We start from the raw sequence: 18,938 nt of genomic DNA on the forward strand, positions 1-18,938 counted from the left end.
GAGCCCTGGGAGCTAGAAAGGGCCGACTGTGTCCCCGGCGGGGAAGGATGGGCCAGCGTGACAGCTGCGGAGGAGAGGGGGTGTGACCCATGGCAAAGAAGAAGAAGGCAGGTGGCAGCTTCCTCAGAGTCTGCTCAGCCATGGTGATAAGCTCGAGTGGATTTTATTTTAAGAGTGTGGGGAAGTAACTGAGGTGTTTTAAGGAGGGGGGATGTGGGAAGAATAAACAGCAGAGGGACAATTAAGAAATATTTTGAGGCCAGGCAAGGTGGCTCACGCCTGTAATCCCAGCACTTTAAGAGGCCGAGGCGGGAGGATTGCTTGAGGCCAGGAGTTCGAAACCAGCCTGGGTGAGGTAGAGAGACCTTGTCTCTACACAAACAAATTAAAAAAAAAATTAGCCAGACGTGGTGGTGCATGCTACTCAGGAGGCTGAGGTGAGAGGATCGCTTGAGCCCAGGAGGTTGAGGCTGCCATGAGCTGTGATCATGCCACCACTGCACTCCAGCCTGGGCAACAGAGCAAGAACCCATCTCAAAAAGAAATGCTGTAGAGGTAGAACCATGGGGATTTTTTAATTGTTTCAATATGAGGCTTAAAGGAAAGGGAGAAATCAGGGATGCCTCCTGCATTCTTGGGTTGAACTAGCGAAATAGCGGTGGCAGGACAACTAAGACAAGAGCCCATTGAAGTTCGCTGTAAACATGTTAAATCTGCAATACCTGCTAGGCAGTTGGGGAGATGAGGCCATTAGACTTGAAATCCAGGAAGTCGTTAGAATCTTGATAAGAACAGTTTCAGCAGAATGCAAGTGAGGAAGTAGAAGCAGTGAATGTGGATGACATTTTGAGGAATTCTGCCATGAAGAAGAATACACGGAAGGGGAGGAGGTGAAGGGGATTTTTTTAAAAGCAATTTAAAAGTTTACTGGAATGTCTCATACATATCAAAGAGGATCCAGTGTGAAACCCATGGTAAGATTTCTTAACATTTTTTCCATTGTCATGTATTTCCACTTTTTATTTGGAAAGGTTGAAAGTTATAGAAAAGTTGAAAGAATCATACAGTTAAGGCCCATGGACTCTTTATCCAGATTTTTTCTCTAGCTCTCTCTCTGAAGACAGGAGCAATGGGAACTTGTGTGTTGCTGGAGGTAATGACCCAGGAGAAAGGGAGAGCTTGAGGAAGGAGGGAAGAGAGGAGATTCGAGGGGAGCAGAGTGCTTGAGAAGGCAACAGGTGGCATTCTTCAGTATAAAGGAGGGCCCCACCTTGGATAGGAGCAGGACGCTGCCGTTGTAACAGGAGGGAAGACGTGGGAAGGTGAATGTGTTTCTGGTAGCGTCCCCCATGAGAATTGAGGGGTTAAGGGACTTATGTGGGGGAGAAGAAAAGAATTAAACAGCTGTGTTAGAGAGGGGAAATGATATTACAGGACTGCTGGGCAGGGTTGAGTGCCCATCTGAGATTTGTGGTAGTGGGATTAGAGTGAACCAATAAGTTTTGTTGTGTGGACTTTCTTCAGCAATATTCAGTGACCTGGATAGGCAGGGACAGGGTGATTGGTTGTATTTAACCAGGACTGGGGCTTATCCAGGGGACAGTTCGATGGAGGGACAGCAATGGGGTGGCTGTGGTGAGGGACCAGAGAAGCACACCTGGGTCCAAAGGGGCAGAAACACGGGGCAGGGGGGTGGGACCACCTCTGGGAACATAGGGAGCTCAGAGGTTTGGCCTCACTGAAGCATGACACCCCATTCCATGGGGAATACCAGGGCCAGGGATTTAGAGGAAGCAAGGATATGGTGGACAGTTAGGGGCCATTTGAAGTTGAGAGGTCAGAAGTGGTGCAGTCCTTGTCACGTATAGAGTCCAGGATGTACCCTTGGGCATGGATTACCAAGGTTGATGGGACAAAGGTGGTTCACAGTGAGCAGGACAGACACCAGCACAGAGGGCACTGAGTGGGTCATCCTTAGGGACTTCGATGTCATCATGTGTAGTGGCAGGAGCAGAGTTGGGCAGGAACACAGTGGGCCACAGTATTCAAGGAGCAGGGTGAATGATAGGTGGTCGGAAGGTGGCTGTGAGAGAATGGAGGTTGGGAGGAAGCGGGTTTGGGGCTTGAATCACTCTAGGGCATGTGCACCAGAAGGGGTGAGAATCAGGGCTGGCCTGGGAGGTTGGGACTTCTAGGACTGAAGTGTGATGTTATTATCCCTCCTGGCCTCTGCAAGGAACAGGGACAATCACTTTGGACTACTGCGCTGCATGTCTCGCTTCCAGGTACTTGTGAGCAGTAACTGCGGTGATGAGGTGCACGTGTGCTGGAGTCAGAATGTGCTGGCTTCTCTATCACTTTCTAGACGTGTGGACCTGGGCATGGCATTTTACCCCAGTGGCTGCATTTCCTCTTCTGTAAAGTGGCACTCATGACGTTGTTTCATTAAATGAGATGTCTTAGTCCATTTTGCATTGCTGTAAAGGAATACCTGAGGCTGGGTAATTTATAAAGAAAAGAGGTTTATTTGGCTCATGGCTCTGCAGGCCATACAGGGGGCACAGCACCAGCATCTGCTTCTGGGGAGGCCTCAAGAAGCTTAAGATTATGGCAGAAGGTGAAGGGGGAGCAGGCATGTCACATGGCAAACAAGGGAGCAAGAGAGCCAGGAGGGAGCCACGTACTTTTTAACGACCAGATCTCATATGAACTCAGAGCGAGAACTCACTCATCACCAAGGGGATGGCCCAAGCCGTGCATGAGGGAATCCACCCCCATGATCCAATCACTTCCCATAGGCCCCACCTCCAACACTGAGAATTCCACCTCAACATGAGATTTGGAGGGGACGAACATTCAAACCATGTCATGAGGTAAGATGGAAAGCACTTTGCTCTCTGCCTCGAGCATATATGGGATCACTAGATATTAAATATTATGATTATTATACGAATAATATTTTTGGAACATTAAGTCACTCTGTTTTCATCCTTGGTAATCCTTTGATCCAAGCCATCCTGTTGTTCCTATGATGAAGCCCTCCATGGCTACCTCAGGCCTGGGGTCTCCACAGTGTAGATAGACTGTGCCTGCCTCAGTAAAGCAGAGGCTTGGAGCCTGGGGAGGCAGGAGAATATGCTTTAGAGCAGCGCTCCCCAATATTTTTGGTACCAGGCACTGGTTTCGTGGAAGACAATTTTTCCATGGACCAGGGGTTGAGGGTATGGTTTCAGGATGAAACTGTTCCACCTCAGATCATCAGGGATTAGATTTTCATAAGGAGTATGCAACCTAGATCCTTTGCATGCACAGTTCACACTAGAGTTTGTGCTCCTATGAGAATCTAATGCTGCTGCTGATCTGACAAGAGGTGGAGTTCAGGCAGTAATGCTCCCTTGCCTGCTACTCACCTCCTGCTGTGCGGCCTGGTTCCTAACAGGCTGCAGACTGTTACCAGTCTGTGGCTCAGGGGCTGGGGACCTCTGCTTAGAGGAAGTTCCTTCCAGAGGGGATGAGGAAGCTGAAAGTCTGCCCCTTCATGTCCAGAAGCACATGAGAAAGAGAAGAGAGGGAAGTGGAGCAGGATGGTGGTTGGCCTATCTTTCCTGACCATGCCCTTTGGGCCAAGGCTGTGGAGTGGGAGGTGCATTGTTTGTGTTGAGATAAAAGATGATACAGAGAAGCTTTGCTGTGCTCCTGGTGGGAACCCTGGAGAAGTCTATAGTCGAGGGTGACCATGCACCAACAAGGGGGGAGAGTGCAGCAGCCACTGAGGGAGGGGCTGTAGGATAAGGTGGAGTTCATGGTCCCGGGTGCACCAATTCACACACTTCACTGGAACACACCTCGCTGCAGAGAAAGCGTGTGACCCAGAGCAGGCACTTATTTCTTGGCGAGCTAGTTGTTATGTACGGGCTGAACTGTGTCCCTGCAAAATCCACGGGTAGAAGCCTTAACCCTCAGCCTCACAGAATGTGAGTGCATTTGGGGATAAGGCCTTAAAAAAAGGTGATTAAACTAAAAGAAGGACTTTAGGGTGGGTCTTAATCCCATCTGACCCATGACTTGGAAGAGGAAGAAATTGGGACACACAGGGCGACCAGGATGTGAGCAAGAGGGGTGGCCACGTGGGGACATGGAGAAGGTGGCTGTCTGAGCCATTGGCACACCAAGGAGAGAGGCTGTATTAGTCTGTTTTTATGCTGCTGATAAAGATATACCCAAGACTGGGAAGAAATTGGTTTAGGCTGGGTGTGGTGGATCCCAGTAATTGTGCCTGTAATCCCAGCACTTTGGGAGGCCAAGGAAGGTGGATCACTTGAGGTCAGCAGTTCAAGACCAGCCTGGAGGACATGGTGAAACACCATCTCTGCTAAAAATACAACAACAGCAAAAAAATTAGCCATGCATGGTGGTGCATGCCTATAATCCCAGCTACTCAACAGGCTGATGCAGGAGAATCTCTTGAACCTGGGAGGTGGAAGCTGCAGTGAGCCAAGATCACACCACTGCACTCCAGCCTGGGCGACAGAGACTCCATCTCAAAAAAAAAAAAAAAAGTGTTTAATGAACTTACAGTTCCACTTGGCTGGGGTGGCTTCAGAATCATGGCGGAAGGCAAGGAGGAGCAAGTCACATCTTACATGGATGGCAGCAGGCAGAGAGAGCTTGTGCAGCAAAACTCCCATTTTTAAACCTATCAGATCTCATGAGACTTATTCACTATCATGAGAACAGCATGGGAAAGACCTGCCCCTATGGAACTGGGTTCCTTCCATGACACGTGAGAATTGTGGGAGTTACAATTCAAGATGAGATCTGGGTGGGGACACAGCCCAACCATATCAGAGGCCTTGGAAGGAACCAACCCTGCCAACACCTTGATGTTGGATGTGAACTGTGAGGACGTAAATAAATCTCTGTTGTTTTAGGCCACCTAGCTTGTGATATTTGTTACAGGAGCCCTAGCAAACTAGCACACTAGGCTAGACAATGCTGCCGGGGACTGACATCTGCTCATGTGCACTTATGCCTTTGACTGTGGGCTGAAATGAGCCAGTGCCCCAGGTCTGCTGGCCAACATTGGTTCACAAGCCACCTCCTCCAGGAAGCCTTCCTTTATCCATCCAGGAAGAATATGGGGTCTCTTTCTCTGACTCTTGAACCCTTGTGCAGATTTCCATGAGGGCATCTTGCATCTGCCACTGCTTTTATAAATGGCTCTGACTCAGGTACTATTCAGCAGCTCCTCAAAGGGGACCAGAAGCATGTCTCTCCCATGGGTGTACTCTCTGAGTGCTGCACAGAGCCACCTGCACTTCTTGGCCCTTTTGCCTGCTGTACTACAGCTTCCCCATGGGGCTTATTGTCTTCCTGAGTTGCTTAGGATTTACTTCCTGGTTTTACCTGTCTTCTCCCACTGGCATGTGAGCCATGTGTGGCTGAGACATTTGGTCCATTTTGTCCCTGCTGCAGCTCCAGTGCCTAGGACAGGGCCTGGGACCTGGTAGTCACTCTATGCATTTTTGTTAATGAATAAATAAATGGGAAATAAAGGTGCAAATATCTCTGCTGCTGATGGGGATTCTGCTCTCCCAGAGGGAAGGTCTTGCTGTTTGGATGTGCCAGTTATTCTCTCTATAAGATCCACACTCAGCATTTTTCCTTGCCTCTATGTTCCCCAAATAAGGTGATTTTTGGCTTTTGCAATGAGTGTTTCTGAACGCTTCATGGTAATACTGTTCTGGAAGGCTGAGCAAGGGTTTGCTAGCCTGAAACTTAGTTTCACAGCCAGCAAGATACGATCTTCTGGCTTTTCTGCCTTTGCCAAGCTCTACTTAAATCTGGTGGCATGTCTAGTTGCAAGCTTAGTTAGTATTATGTTCCCCAGTTAAGGAGTGGGCTGTGTTGGTTCTCCCATGCTGTGCCAAGGATGGGATGGGCAGAGCCCCGCTGGAGGCAGGCCTTGCATCAACTCTCCACCGGTCCACACCTGGCCCACAGTGGGCTTGCAGCACACGTGCCTGTTGAATGAATAACAATGGGTTCCAGTTCTGCTGTCCTTTCTGCTGTTTCTCTCTCAGTAGATAGAAGTTTCTCTCAAACCCTTTTCAGAGTTGATATCATTCCCACATGGGATGAGGAGTCGAGAAGGGGTAATTTAGAGAAAAATAACCCAAGGAAGTGAGTAGTCTCTCCTACCTGGTCTCTAGCCCCCTCAGTGTGCAGGGAGAGGCTGTGGAGTGGGCAGGGCACTGGCCTCGATGCCCTCGGAGTGAGCCCTGCTGCCCCACAGACAAGCTGAGTACCCTTGGGCACATTACTTCACCTCTCTGAGCTTCTTTCCTAATCTGTCAGGAAAGGATAACATCTACCCTGAAGCCGAGCTGTGCAGCTACAGTGGCAGAGGCATAGTAGATGCTCAGTAAATGTTGGTGTCCTTCTTCTTCCTGGAGGGATCATTCCAATCCAGAACTTAGGGGCTCGGGACAAGGCTGAAAATCTTGGATGAGTGGATTGACTACTGGTTTTTGGCTATTTTCATGCTCTCATCTAAAAATCATTCATTTAATCAATAGTCACGGTGCATGTCTCTCAGGCAGTCTGGAAGTCATCTTTTCTAGGTAAATACCAAGACAGGTCAGAGCCTGAGAACAAGAAATGAGTGTTCAATGCTGGCCTAAAAGTGTCTGGGGAGATTTGCTGGATGTTGAAACTTTCAGCTCTCAAAGCTTCTGACATGCTGCTGTTTTTTGAAGGTAATTTTTCTCGATGACTAGTTGTGCATTTCCCTCCATTAGTTAGGGGCCTCCCTTTTCCCTCCCACATTGAGAAGGGCAGTCAGTCACATCTGTGGAAAGGTGCCAGGTCAGGCCAAGGGGCTGAGAGCTGCCTGGGTCCAAAGCTAGAATTGCAGCGGCTGGTGATGGCCAGGTTCCCTTTCCAGCTGGCTCAATTCCTTTTCTTTTTCTTAGAGGATTTTAAGAAACTGTGTTCATTTGTTCATTTATTCATTCAATGAACTCTTACTACTTACATCAACAGCATGCACACATGAAGACAATGCTTTAAGTGTTATTGTCAACTCCAAACATATTCCCCGGGTAGTCAGAGAAGGGAACACTAAATGGTGATGGGGTAGGGAAAGGTTTCAAAGAGTGGGGTGATGTTGGATATAGGCCTTGACGGTTGAACGGGAGTTTGCCCGAGGGCGATGTTCATCCCAGTCAGAGAGAATGGAGGAATAATGGATAATGGAGGAATTAATTGCAAGGATTCAAAGATGTTACCTATCTCAGCGTTTAGAGATGTTGATGTTTACTGTGTAACAGTTGATGACTGGTGAAGTTTTTGCCTGTGTGTAGGAGTGTTGGTGTGTAGGTATGTTTCTGTGTTTGGGGGAAGGATGTGTGTGTGTGTGTGTGTGTGTGTGTGTGTGTCGGGGGGTGGGATTAGGACGGGATGGATGGACATGTTGGTAGAATTCAGCATGAAAAGGCTTGATGTACCTGAATATCACTAGACCTTTGAGAAGATAAGGGTCCTCCACTGAGACATGAAACAACTGGGTGGCTGGCGAAAAGCTGTCACAATAGCAAAGGGTTCTTCAGAACTTCAGTGGTAGCCTGTCACCTGTCACCTTGCACCGGTTTGAGACTCTTTGAAATCTGGTGCCTGCCTATGCAGCTCCATCGTCTTTCTTCCTTCTGTGGCCCCTCCAGGACAGCTAAATGCTAGGTTGAGGTCAACAAGGAGTAAAACCTACCCTAGGCTTTGAAGTAGTTTGTAATCTTGTCAGATGAAACAGGAGGCGGGGAGGATGTCATGCACTGGGCGTTTCCGGAGAGCCATCTGCAATCGCAGCCACCACTCTCGGTTTGCATTGACTTTTTCCTATTTTGTTGGGTTCAGACAGGCATAGTACAAAAACACAAGTTACTTCTCAAGCCATATTCAGCCATTCACTCAGCCAGCATTTATGTTCCAGGAACTATTCCAGCCTCTGTGAATGAGTTCAGAACAAGGAATGGTTATTCAATGGCAACAAATTCGTCCATTCTTACCCTTGGTGAAATTAATCACCTCCCTGAACCTCAGTTTCCCATCTGTAAGATGGGCATAGCAACTCTTTCCTAACCAGAAGGTACCTGTGGAAGCCTCTGGCTCAGCAGGTGAGAAGTGTGTTTGTGTTCCTCTCCCCGACGCCCTCCCTCAGTACTTGCTTCCCAAGACATTGCTTTCCTTTGTTGGGTCAGAGGTGGGGTGTCGTTCCCCTTGCCACCAGCAGATGGTGCCCAACAATCCCCTGCAGGGAACCGAGGCTGCCCGCCTCCCCCAGTCTCCCCACCATCCAGCTCCCTTCCGCCCCTTCTCTGGGACACGTCAGTCATTCCAGGTCCCAGGCAGAAAGTTACACAAAACACTTTGTGTCTGTCAGCAGATTCCTGGAAGGTCACGCTGAATGATGAATGCTCCTGGGTAGGATTGGAGGGCTCTTTTTTCTTTCTTTTTTTTTTTTTTTTCCTTTTCTTTCTTTCTTTTTTTTTGTCTCCCATGAATTGCATCACTGGGCAGCCTCTTGGCTGTATTCAGCCGACTCCTGCGGTTTTTAGACCTTTCCCAATTGTTCGGTGTCTGCTTCCTCTCCAGGACCCTTCTGGCCAAGGCAGGATATTCAGGGTTGGCTGTGGCCAGGGAGCTGGCCATTGTCTAGCACATTCCATACACACACCCTGCCCAGCCCATCCTCCACTCCCAGAGCCTGGACAGACTGTGGTCCTTGGGACAGAGACCTGGTGCATTGCTGTGACCCCAGGTGACAATCTCGCTGCCCTGATTTCCAAATAAGGGGAGCCTGGCCTGGCAGAGAAATGAGCCTAATTTCCAAAGTTGAATTTCCGCCAGGATCAGAGCCTTTATATATCCTGGTCTTCGGTGTCCCCCTTCTTCCTGACCACATATAGACTGCTTATGATATTTTTTAACTTTGCCAGCTCTTTACCCAAATTGAGTAGCCATTTTGCTTTTGTAGATATCCTGAGTTGGCTCCAATTTAACATCCTGACCCATCATCCTGGTGTTAGGTATTAGGACCATGGTCCTGATATTTTGCTTGAGGAAAATGAGCCATACCACTCAGAGGTGTGGCATATGTGGCATGTGAAAGCACCTTTCTCCTCCATCAGTGGCCTTACTGATGCAGGGCAGTGGGAGTGAGTGTATGTACACAGAGCAATACAAATGAACCCTGCTCTCAAAGTCTGCGCAAAGGGGAGTGAGAAGACAGAGCAGGTGTAGTCCCTGGAGTGAGCCCTGCTGCAGAATAGATGGAAGGGGTGGGTCCAGGAACCCCGAAATGGAAGCAGCAGTGGCTCTGCTCCCCATCACCCCGAGCAATCACGTGGGGATTTGTGTCTGTCTCTGCAATTTTAGGCTCTGAGGATCTAAAGCTCTTGGTGCCCGGAGGGGAAATAATTATTAATACCATCAGGGAATACAGTAAAGAGCCCACTAAACGTAAAGCTGCAGTTGCTGCCCGGTCATTTTGGGTTCATGTGCCAATAGATCACTGGGCAAGGAAAGGAGTTACTACCTCGGTAGGAGTAATGAACCCAGCCAGGTATGGTAGCTCATGCCTGCAATCCTAGCACTTTGGGAGGCCGAGGCAGGTGGATCACCTGAGGTCAGGAGTTTGAGACCAGCCTGGCCAACATAGTGAAACCTCGTCTCTACTAAAAAGTTAGCTGGGCGTGGTGGTGGGTACCTGTATTCCCAGCTACTCGGGAGGCTGAGGCAGGAGAATTGCTTGAACCTGGGAGATGGAGGTTGCAGTGAGCCAAGATTGCGCCATTGCATTCCAGCCTGGGTGACAGAGTAAGACTCTGTCTCAAAAAGAAAGAAAGAAACAAACAAAAAAGAGTAATGAACCGTGCTCATCACGAGGAAACAGTGAGCTGCTGCTTTCATAATGCTTCACAGTGGGGGCAGGAGGAAATGTGTTGGGCATCAGGTGATCCCTTGGGCACCCCCGGCACTCCCACACTCAATTCTAAGAGGAAATGGAAAGGTTCCGCAGCTATGGCCTAATAAGAACAAGAAACCCGGGGGCTAGACCCTCCCTGCACCCCGCTGCCCCAGGTGAAGATCTGGGTACCATCTCCCTCAGGAAAATCCACATAGCTCAGCAGACCTCCCAGCTGCTGGGGAGGGAAATGTTGTATCGCTGGTGGAAAAGGGAAATGGTGAGTTTCGGAGACAAACTTGGGACCCACTCAGCAGTGGAGGCGGCAGTTCATCCTAACATCCTTGCTCTTTTATGTTTCTCCAGAAATTGTGATCAACCAGAATCCAGAACACGCTGTGCTTAATGGAGTGAACTGCCTGTGAAGCGCAGGTGTGAGGGGCGGATGATAAGTGACAGTGCCGGTGCCCCCAGCGCCCTTTTACCTGATGGCTCACCCGGCCTACAGCTGCGCCCTTCCCTTTGAATCGTCTTGGGTAACGGGTGCTGCTTTGGAAATGCCTGGAAGGTCATGTCCTTTGTCTGGGGATGGCTTCCAGCTGTGGTTGACTGATAGCAGGGGGCACAGAAGGCCAGACACAACTTGCCTCAGGTGGGCCGACTCTGAGGGTTTGTTCGGCCTCCACGTGGACTTCAGCTGAGCCTGCATCTTTGCTTGGCTTTTCCCACTGGCCTATTCTGCTTCCCTCTCCTTAAGGGTTCTCCCAGGAGAACTCCCTTAATAAATCACTTGCACAAGGATCCCTGTCTTAGCCTTTGCTTCTAGAAAACCTGACCTAAGATAAATAGGTCGTGGGAACACGAGAGAAAGAGATACTTATTTTATCTGAGGGGTCAGAAGAGTCTTCCCAGGGCAAGTCTTGAAGCTCTGTGTAGGAGTCTGACTGTGCAAAAGGGTGTCCCAAGCAGAGGCGATGGCATAAGTAAGGTACAATCGTCGTGCCTCCTGCCTGAGAATAGCCAGCTGTTTCGTTTGGCTGGAGTGCTGAGCAAATAGGGTGGAGTGGGCTGTGAGTGGCAGGAGAAGCAGATGGGCATGACTATGTGAACATCCAGAGGAGGAGACTGGGCTTTAAGCTTAGATCTCAAATACTTCTGCATTCAATTCTTCTCTGGCTCTGTGGCAATTGACTCAGACCCCAGAGACCACCACTAAGGAAATAAGTTCCTATTAAGTTGGAATAGGAAAAACACCCTATGTCATATTCCAAGTCAATGGCAGAAGTAGGATATGTCTTAGTCCATTTGGGCTGCTGTAACAAAGTACCATAGACAGGGTGGTTTCAACAAAAGTGCACTTCTCACAGTTCTAGAGGATGAAAGTCTGAGATCAAAGCGCCAGCACAGTTGGGTTCTGATGAGGGCCCTCTTCTGGGTTGTGGACTGCTGACTTCTCATTGTTACTCACGTGGAGAAAAGAGAGTGAATTAGTTCTCTGGCCACTTATAATGGCATGATATGCTTTGGCTGTGTCTCCACCCAAATCTTATCTTGAATTGTAGCTTTCGTAATTCCCACGTGTTGTGGGAGGGACCTGGTGGGAGATACCTGAATCGAATCGTTGGGGGAGTTTCCCCAATACTGTTCTTGTAGTGAATGAGTCTTATGAGATCTGATGGTTTTATAATGGGTTTCCCCTTTCACTTAGCTCTCATTCTCTCTTAACTGCTGCCATGTAAGACACGCTTTTCACCTTCTGCTATGATTGTGAGGCCTCCCAAGCCACGTGGAGCTGTGAGTACATTAAACCTCTTTTTCTTTATAAATTACCCTGTCTGGGGTATGACTTTACCAGCAGCATGAAAATGGGCTAATACCGTGCACTAATCCCTTTCATGAAGTTTCCACCCTCATGACCTAATTACATCCCAAAGGCTCCACTTCTAAATACTATCACATTGGGGATTATATTTTAACATATCAATTTTGAATTAATACAACACTTAGTCCATAACAGGACATAAAACTCAAGCCCCCAAATTCTAGCCCAGGGATTTATCCTTTATTCATTGTTCATAATAAAATTCTAAAAATACTAATATCATATTTTTAACCTACTCCTAAGCTGTGGAGATGGAGATATTTTGATTCCTCTCTTCTTAAGATTTTTAAATGCTTCTTTCTTCCCAATAATTACTGACAAGAGTAATTCAGATTCATGTCATATTTATTTAGCCTTACTGTGTGTCAGCTGCCTTCATGTACATTAACTCATTTGATTCTTCCAACTTCCCAGTGAAGCAAGCAGTCTTATTCCCACATTATAGATAACAGAATGGAGTCACAGGTTAAATAATGTACCCAAAGGAGAAACCCAGGATTTTTCCACTTTACTACTAGAGTACATTTTTCCTTATATAATTTAGTTCTTGTTGCATAACAAACTGCCCCCAAAATGTTGTGAATTAAAACAACAACAATGTATTTATTTTATAATTTGTGTGTTGCCAGTTTGGGGTTGGGGTCAGCTGGGTGGTTTTCTGCTCATCTAGCTGTGATCATTCTTGTGTCTGTGTTCAGCTGCTGGTTGGCTAGGCAGCTCTGTTAGTCAGCTTAGGGCTGGGGCAGTGAGGGAACTCGGCCATATATCTGTCATCGTCCAGCAGATCAGCCCAGGCTCTTTCACACAGGGGTTGGTAGGAGGATTCCAAAAGCAGCAAGTTAAGACAAGCTCCCACAGGTAAGTGCCATCAAACCTTTGTTTGCATTACAACTGCTCACAATCCACTGGCCAAAACAAGTCAAGAGGCCAAGCTCAGTGTGGTGTGCCACTGCCCAAGTGCCCAAGGGCATGGATATGGGGAAGTAAATAATATGTGGCAAAATTTTCAGTCTACCACATTGTTTTCAAAAAGTGTTTTCTTAATTGTAAAAGTATGTTTGTGTGTATTCATGTATATAAATGTTAGTTTTGAAAATTTGGAAAATACAGAAAAATATAAAGAAGGAAAACAAATTACCCGTAACACACCAGAGACAATCACTGTTAGTGGCTTATTTCCTTATCTGTTTTATGAGCATTTTAGTGAGTGTATGACTGTGTGTATATATGTTTCAGTAATATTTTCTTTTAAAACAGTGGTATTAGAGTCTGTCTTTTTGATTGACTATATTTTGAACATTTCCACATGTCATTCAAATAATTCTTGAAAATATGGTACTTTTTAATACTCTATCATTTCTCCCCACCATATTTTATTTAACCCTACCCTGCCTTTTTACTTATATTTTTGCCATTTAGGTTGGTTTCATTTTTCTTTCTTTCTCTTTCTTTCTTTTTCTTTCTTTCTTTCGATTATAACAAATAACATTATAGTGAATATTCCGGAATAAAAATTTTTCTCCACATTTCTGATGATTTTCCTAGGACAGATTCCCAGAAGTCAATTACAGGATCAAAGGAGATAACATTAGTAGGGCTTTTGATATGTATTGCTAAATTGCTTTCCTGGAATTTACTCTCCCACAGCACCGAGGGAAAGGGCCTACATTATGGTACTCTCAAGGGCACTAAGTATTATCTTAAAAAAATAAAGATCAATTAGGTAAAAAGCAGTACCTTTATTTAATTTGTGTTTCTGGTTGCCAGTAAGGATAAACATTTTAGAAATACTTCTTGACCGTTTATCCTTCTGCAAATGTTCTCTTCCTCAGACAAAGGACATATATTTTAAGTTGATTTGTATGATGACCCTGTGTTGAAGTCATTGACATGTTATCCTATACATTAGAAATGTTTTCCCCTTTAGGTTGTCATTGGCCTTATAATTTTGTTTGGGGATTTTTTTCGACACATAGGAATTTAGCATTTTCTATTGTCAAATGTATTTTTTAATTTTTTGTTTTGTAACATTCATTACTTTTATGCTTACAATTTCATTCTTGACCCATCTCTTAAATAATGTAAAACATAATGGCTCTGCCACTGAGAACAAGGTTTGGAAAGGCTGTCTTTGAAACCAGAGTTGACAGGTGGAGCTGATTCTCTATTGTGATGTTTTCTCCCAGCTGGGCCTGGGTAAATGCCTTCAGGATCCTGTTTACTGGGCACGAGGCTGATCAGCATGGGCCTGTGGAGCCTTGGAGTTTAGCTCTAAGCGCATCAAGGAAACTGCGCCACTTTCGTACCCATGGCTTTTCTTCTTAGTGGACCTTTCCTCCTGTCATCCAGACCCTGAGGTGGGTGGAGACTCTTCTTTCTGTATTTTACAATCTGATTTGAGTCGTCACCAGGAACCCCAAAGGCCCATGACCCATAGTGGTCTGTGTCTTTCCAAGTTGTGAATTAGAATCCCAGTGGCTATGAGGCTGTCGGGTGACAAGGAGCTACTTTGTAGTGAGTGATCAAGGCTATCTTCGTGTGGCACCTGCTTTGTAGTGACTCCTGTAACACTACTTGCAAAGTAGTAAAACTTTATTTTTCGATGAAGCTTGCTCCTGAAAGAGAACCAAAATCTTGCACCAATGATGAAAACAACTGGTGCCTGAGGTTCGCTTTTGCGTTGATGGAGACCTGAGTTTGATTTCTTAGCTGAAGCTAAGAGGGAATATGATTACAGTGGAAAAGGCAAGGATTCAGAGCTGCTTGGAACTGGGTTCAAATTGCTTCTCTGCTACTTGCTGTGTGGCTTTTGACAAGTCATTGAATCTCCCTGAGTTTCTACTTCCTAATCATTAGGAGAGACCCCAGTCCTGCTGTCCCTTTCCTGGAAAACTGGTATGTCTGGAATGAGGCAACGCAGGCCAAGTTGTTGACACACACGAGGCTCTGAGTGAATGGCAGATAGCATTTTTATCTAGAAAAAGAAAAGCAACCTAAGTAAGAAAGTGATGGAATTAGGGATTGTGGCAATTTGTGAAAATTTCAGGAATAATGTTTTGGAATGTCAGGGATCTGTTACTGAGATTTTCCAGAAACATGAAGTGATGGGTTAGCAATGAGGGAAAAACACAAGCACCGCACACCTTGCAGAAGCATTGATTTTGATATTAAAACTCACAGTAACACACAATGGAGTAGGCTGCAGATCCACATGAACTATAGGGTAAAACAAGGCTTTGTGAAATTGCTCACCAGTGGAAGGTCTCTTTGGCACTTAAATTGCCGGGTGCTCTGAATTCTCCTTTTACTGTTAGGGCTGCTTTTGGGGAGATGTTTGAGAAGCTGTGGATAATGTGAGGTGCTTCCCCAAAGGGGAGAGGGAACCTGCTGGGCAGCCACACTGACATTGCTCAGAAGGGGATGGTTTCCTCCTGAGGTGGGATTTCCCCTCTCCAGCTCGGCTGTGGCACAGCGTCTCTACAAACTCCTGGTAGTTCTCATGGGTGCTGTTCTCAGAGTATTTCTTGTTCTTCCAGGCACTCGGTAAAATTGCAACTTCCTACTCCCTTGAAATTAGGTACATGTGACCTGTCATGGACTGTAGCGTGTGGACAGAAGCCTCAAAAACTAGTGTTTGATGGGCCATTTTGCTTTCTGTAATCTCAGCCATTGCAGAGACAAGGATTAGAGCCTCCCTCAGCCTGGGTCCCTGAAGAAGGAGGCTCTGTCGGTTATGATGACGTGTAGCACAAGTGAGCAATAAACCTTTCTTGTCTGAAGTCTTGGGCATTTGGGATTGTTTCTCATTATATCAGCAAAACCCACCTTATTCTGACTGATAGACTTGAGAGCAGTTACCAAAAAATCAATGGCTTTATTTTGTCCACCTGGCCTACACAGTAGTGATTCACAGCTGACACTCAGATCGGCTTTACATTTCTTTTTTTTTGAGATGGAATTTTGCTCTTGCTGACCGGACTGGAGTACAATGGCACAATCTTGGCTCACTGCAACCTCCGTCTCCCAGGTTTGAGTGATTCTCCTGCCTTAGCCTCCTAAGTAGCTGGGATTACAGGCACCTGCCGCCACCAGACCTGGCTAATTTTTGTATTTTTAGTAGAGACTTGGGGTAGGGGGGGATTTCACCATGTTGGCCAGGTTGGTCTCAAACTCCTGACCTCAGGTGATCCTCCTGCCTCGACCTCCAAAATTGCTGGGATTACAGGCATAAGCCACTGTGCCCGGCCTCAGATCTGTTTTACTTTAGAGACTTATGAGCATGTCATGTGCCTGGCCAAGAAGATCCAGGTATGAGGGTGGCTGGGCTGTAACACTCCCTCCATACCTGCTCCAGGATACCAGGCTCCAGCCCTGATGCAGCTGATCAGGCTGAAGAGGAGAAAGAAAGGCAAGGACAAGCGTTGGCCCAGGACCTGCCATGTGGCAAGGGATCTGCTCCATGCTTTCTCTACATTACTTCTAATGATCACAGCAATCTATGAGGTGATTATTGTTCTCACTCCTCTTTTATAGATGGGAAAATGGTTTCTTGGAGAAGTTAAGTAACTTATTTGGAGCCACATACCTGGCAAGGGTATGTGAGTAGAGATGCAAACTTAGGCTGAGAAAATGATCTTTGAAGGAGGGAAACTGTTTCGTTCCCACCTGTAAGTTCTGTTTTTTGGCAGTGCTGAATCTCATCAAATTAGATCCAGAGAGGCCAGTTATGGTGGCTCATGACTGAATCCCAGCACTTTAGAGGCCAAGGTGGGAGGTCAGGAGTTTGAGACCAGCCTAGGTAACATAGCAAGACCCCCGTCTCTACAAAAAATAATTAGCTGGGTATGGTTGTGTGTACCTGTAGTTCTAGCTACTCAGGAGGCTGAGGAGGGAGGATCGCTTGAGCCCAGGAGGTCAAGGCTGCAGTGAGCTGTGATAGTGCCACTGCACTCCAGCCTGGATGACAGACCCTGTCACAAAAACAAACAAACAAAAAACCAAAAAACCCAGGAAGCATTTTCTGACCGCTGAGGCTGAAAGGAGCCTTGTCCTCCACTCTCCATCCTCATTTTTGCTTACTGTGTGTTTTCCTTCATAGCTCTTTGTCGTTTAGTGCTTGTTTCTTCCACTATTGTAGAAGGACCACATTGTCTTATTAACCCTTGGGTTCCCAGGACCTGTCCAAGGCTGGCATGCAGGAGACATTTAGTAAAGAATGATAAATAATGATTGCTTATATCAATAAAGCCTCCTTATGTTGATAGAGGAACCCCTGAAACAGTTTAGTGCAGAAGTCCAAAACACAAACTAGAGACAGACAGCCTGGGTTTGCATCTCAACTTTGCTACTTCCTAGCTCTGTGGCTTTCAGGAAGTTACTTAACCCCTCTGTGCCTCATTTTTCCCATCTGTCAAATGAAGATAACACTAGTAACTTTCCTCTTGATTGTTGTGAGAATTGAACAGGGTGTAAAGAACCTGGAAAGCACCTGGAACAGTGCCAGCCCATAGTAAGTACGCAGCGAGAATGAGCTATTTGTATTGTGTAAACATGGTGGACAGTGTCTGTTATGTATCCAAAATGATTGTTGTTGGAGACTAAGAGAAAATGGATGCAGCTACAGTACTGAGGAGGCTGCAGTGTCTGACCAAATACAAAATAGTTTGGTACAGGAGCTGATCAAAGAACACGCATTGAGACAGACCTGGAGTTTGACATCAGCTTTGACTTACTAACCTGGTGACCTTGGGCAAACCTCTCTCCTACGCTCAGCTGCATTAGCAAACACATGGACCAACACCACTAGAAGTGAGTGAAAATAAGGCAAATAACCATAAAAATGGGAGTAATATCCCTGCATGGCAGATTTGGTATGTGGATGAGATGAGATTTGGTCTGTGAAACCTCCTGCACAGAGCAAAAATGATTTCTGAACAAATGTACAAATGAAAGTGGATTTTGCTACATGAATGCAGAGAAGAGATAGGTGGTGCCCATTCAGCTTAGGACTTAAAAAGCCCATGCTGGGTAGGAGAGGTTATGTGAGGGATGAGGATTTCTTAGTGATTGGGTGAAATTCTGGCATTGAGAGTCACATGTTGATAATTTTTCCAGGGACACAGAGAGGGTTCGTTTTGCTGTCCCACACGGCATGCCTGTGCGTGAACAGCTCTCTGCTAATGCACTGTCACGTGGATCTATCGCAACACCAAGCCTTCCACTTACCACTGACAATGCAGGAACAAAGACATCAAAACCACTGCTCTTAAAAAACTTCCTAATGACTACAACATTTTGGCTTACTGAACATAACTGAATTAATTCATAGTTTTCCCAGAACAGGAACTGAATTCATCAATTTACGACTTTGTCAGCTTGTTTTGGAGATAGGTCAATCAGTTACATTCATTCTGGGAGAAAATAGCGGTGAGCCAATTTTTTATACCTCACCTGAGCAGCTAAACATTGGGTGGTCTTTGTCTGCAGTTGAACAGTTTAATCCGTTCCTTGTATACAAGAAACTGTGAGCTGAAACATTACATCAAACTGCTAGTCTGCACCCTGCACCATGAAATATCAGCTTTATTAGTTCCATTCTTGACGACATTGTGCAATAATGAAAAGCATATTGTGCAACCACGTATGGGAGATTTCAATGCACACATTTCCAAATGGTCTTCTTGGTTTTCTAAGTGTAAACTACTTAGCGGCCATGGAGTTAACTGAAATATTATTCAGTCAAAACAACATTGCTATTATTCACTTAATACAAAGCCCACAAGAGATGCCTCTGGTATATAAAATATACTATGAGTAATTATGTAACTGCTAACCTTCTTTGAATCATTTCCATTGCCATTCAGGAAATGGAAGCATCAGCTACCCTAGATTTTAATTAACTTTGACCATAGCTCTTGGTAAGTGGGAGGAGAAAACATTATTTGGTAAACTATAAGGCAAAAGCATAAAAGTTAACAAAGTTTGTAGTTAGTTCTTAGATGCTCTCTCATTTGTAATGTGTGACTCCATTTGAGAGAGACCGTGGGGAAATTATGAATCAAATTTCAGGAGCAAATGTGATGCTTCTTGAGGTGA

General features: G+C 46.1%; 1 long non-coding RNA gene across 2 annotated transcripts in view, besides 4 other annotated features; it reads left to right on the forward strand.

The window, feature by feature from the left end:
• LOC105373430 (uncharacterized) overlaps positions 1–10,762 on the forward strand; it is a 34,063-nt gene extending 23,301 nt beyond the window's left edge. For both annotated transcript variants that reach the window (XR_922803.3, XR_001739287.2), the window contains one exon: positions 10,328–10,762. This is a non-coding gene — a long non-coding RNA (uncharacterized LOC105373430). The remainder of the gene's footprint in view (positions 1–10,327) is intronic.
• Positions 5,295–5,394: an enhancer, noted in NCBI's record as "active region_15326". NCBI's record gives its function as "activates an Ori minimal core promoter by ATAC-STARR-seq in GM12878 lymphoblastoid cells {active_cell/tissue: GM12878}" and the evidence as "EXISTENCE:reporter gene assay evidence [ECO:0000049][PMID:35858748]".
• Positions 7,961–8,010: an enhancer, noted in NCBI's record as "active region_15327". NCBI's record gives its function as "activates an Ori minimal core promoter by ATAC-STARR-seq in GM12878 lymphoblastoid cells {active_cell/tissue: GM12878}" and the evidence as "EXISTENCE:reporter gene assay evidence [ECO:0000049][PMID:35858748]".
• Positions 8,281–8,330: a silencer, noted in NCBI's record as "silent region_11178". NCBI's record gives its function as "represses an Ori minimal core promoter by ATAC-STARR-seq in GM12878 lymphoblastoid cells {active_cell/tissue: GM12878}" and the evidence as "EXISTENCE:reporter gene assay evidence [ECO:0000049][PMID:35858748]".
• Positions 15,333–15,402: an enhancer, noted in NCBI's record as "active region_15328". NCBI's record gives its function as "activates an Ori minimal core promoter by ATAC-STARR-seq in GM12878 lymphoblastoid cells {active_cell/tissue: GM12878}" and the evidence as "EXISTENCE:reporter gene assay evidence [ECO:0000049][PMID:35858748]".

This window comes from Homo sapiens, chromosome 2 (assembly GCF_000001405.40).
Source record: "Homo sapiens chromosome 2, GRCh38.p14 Primary Assembly".
Lineage (NCBI taxonomy): Eukaryota > Metazoa > Chordata > Mammalia > Primates > Hominidae > Homo > Homo sapiens.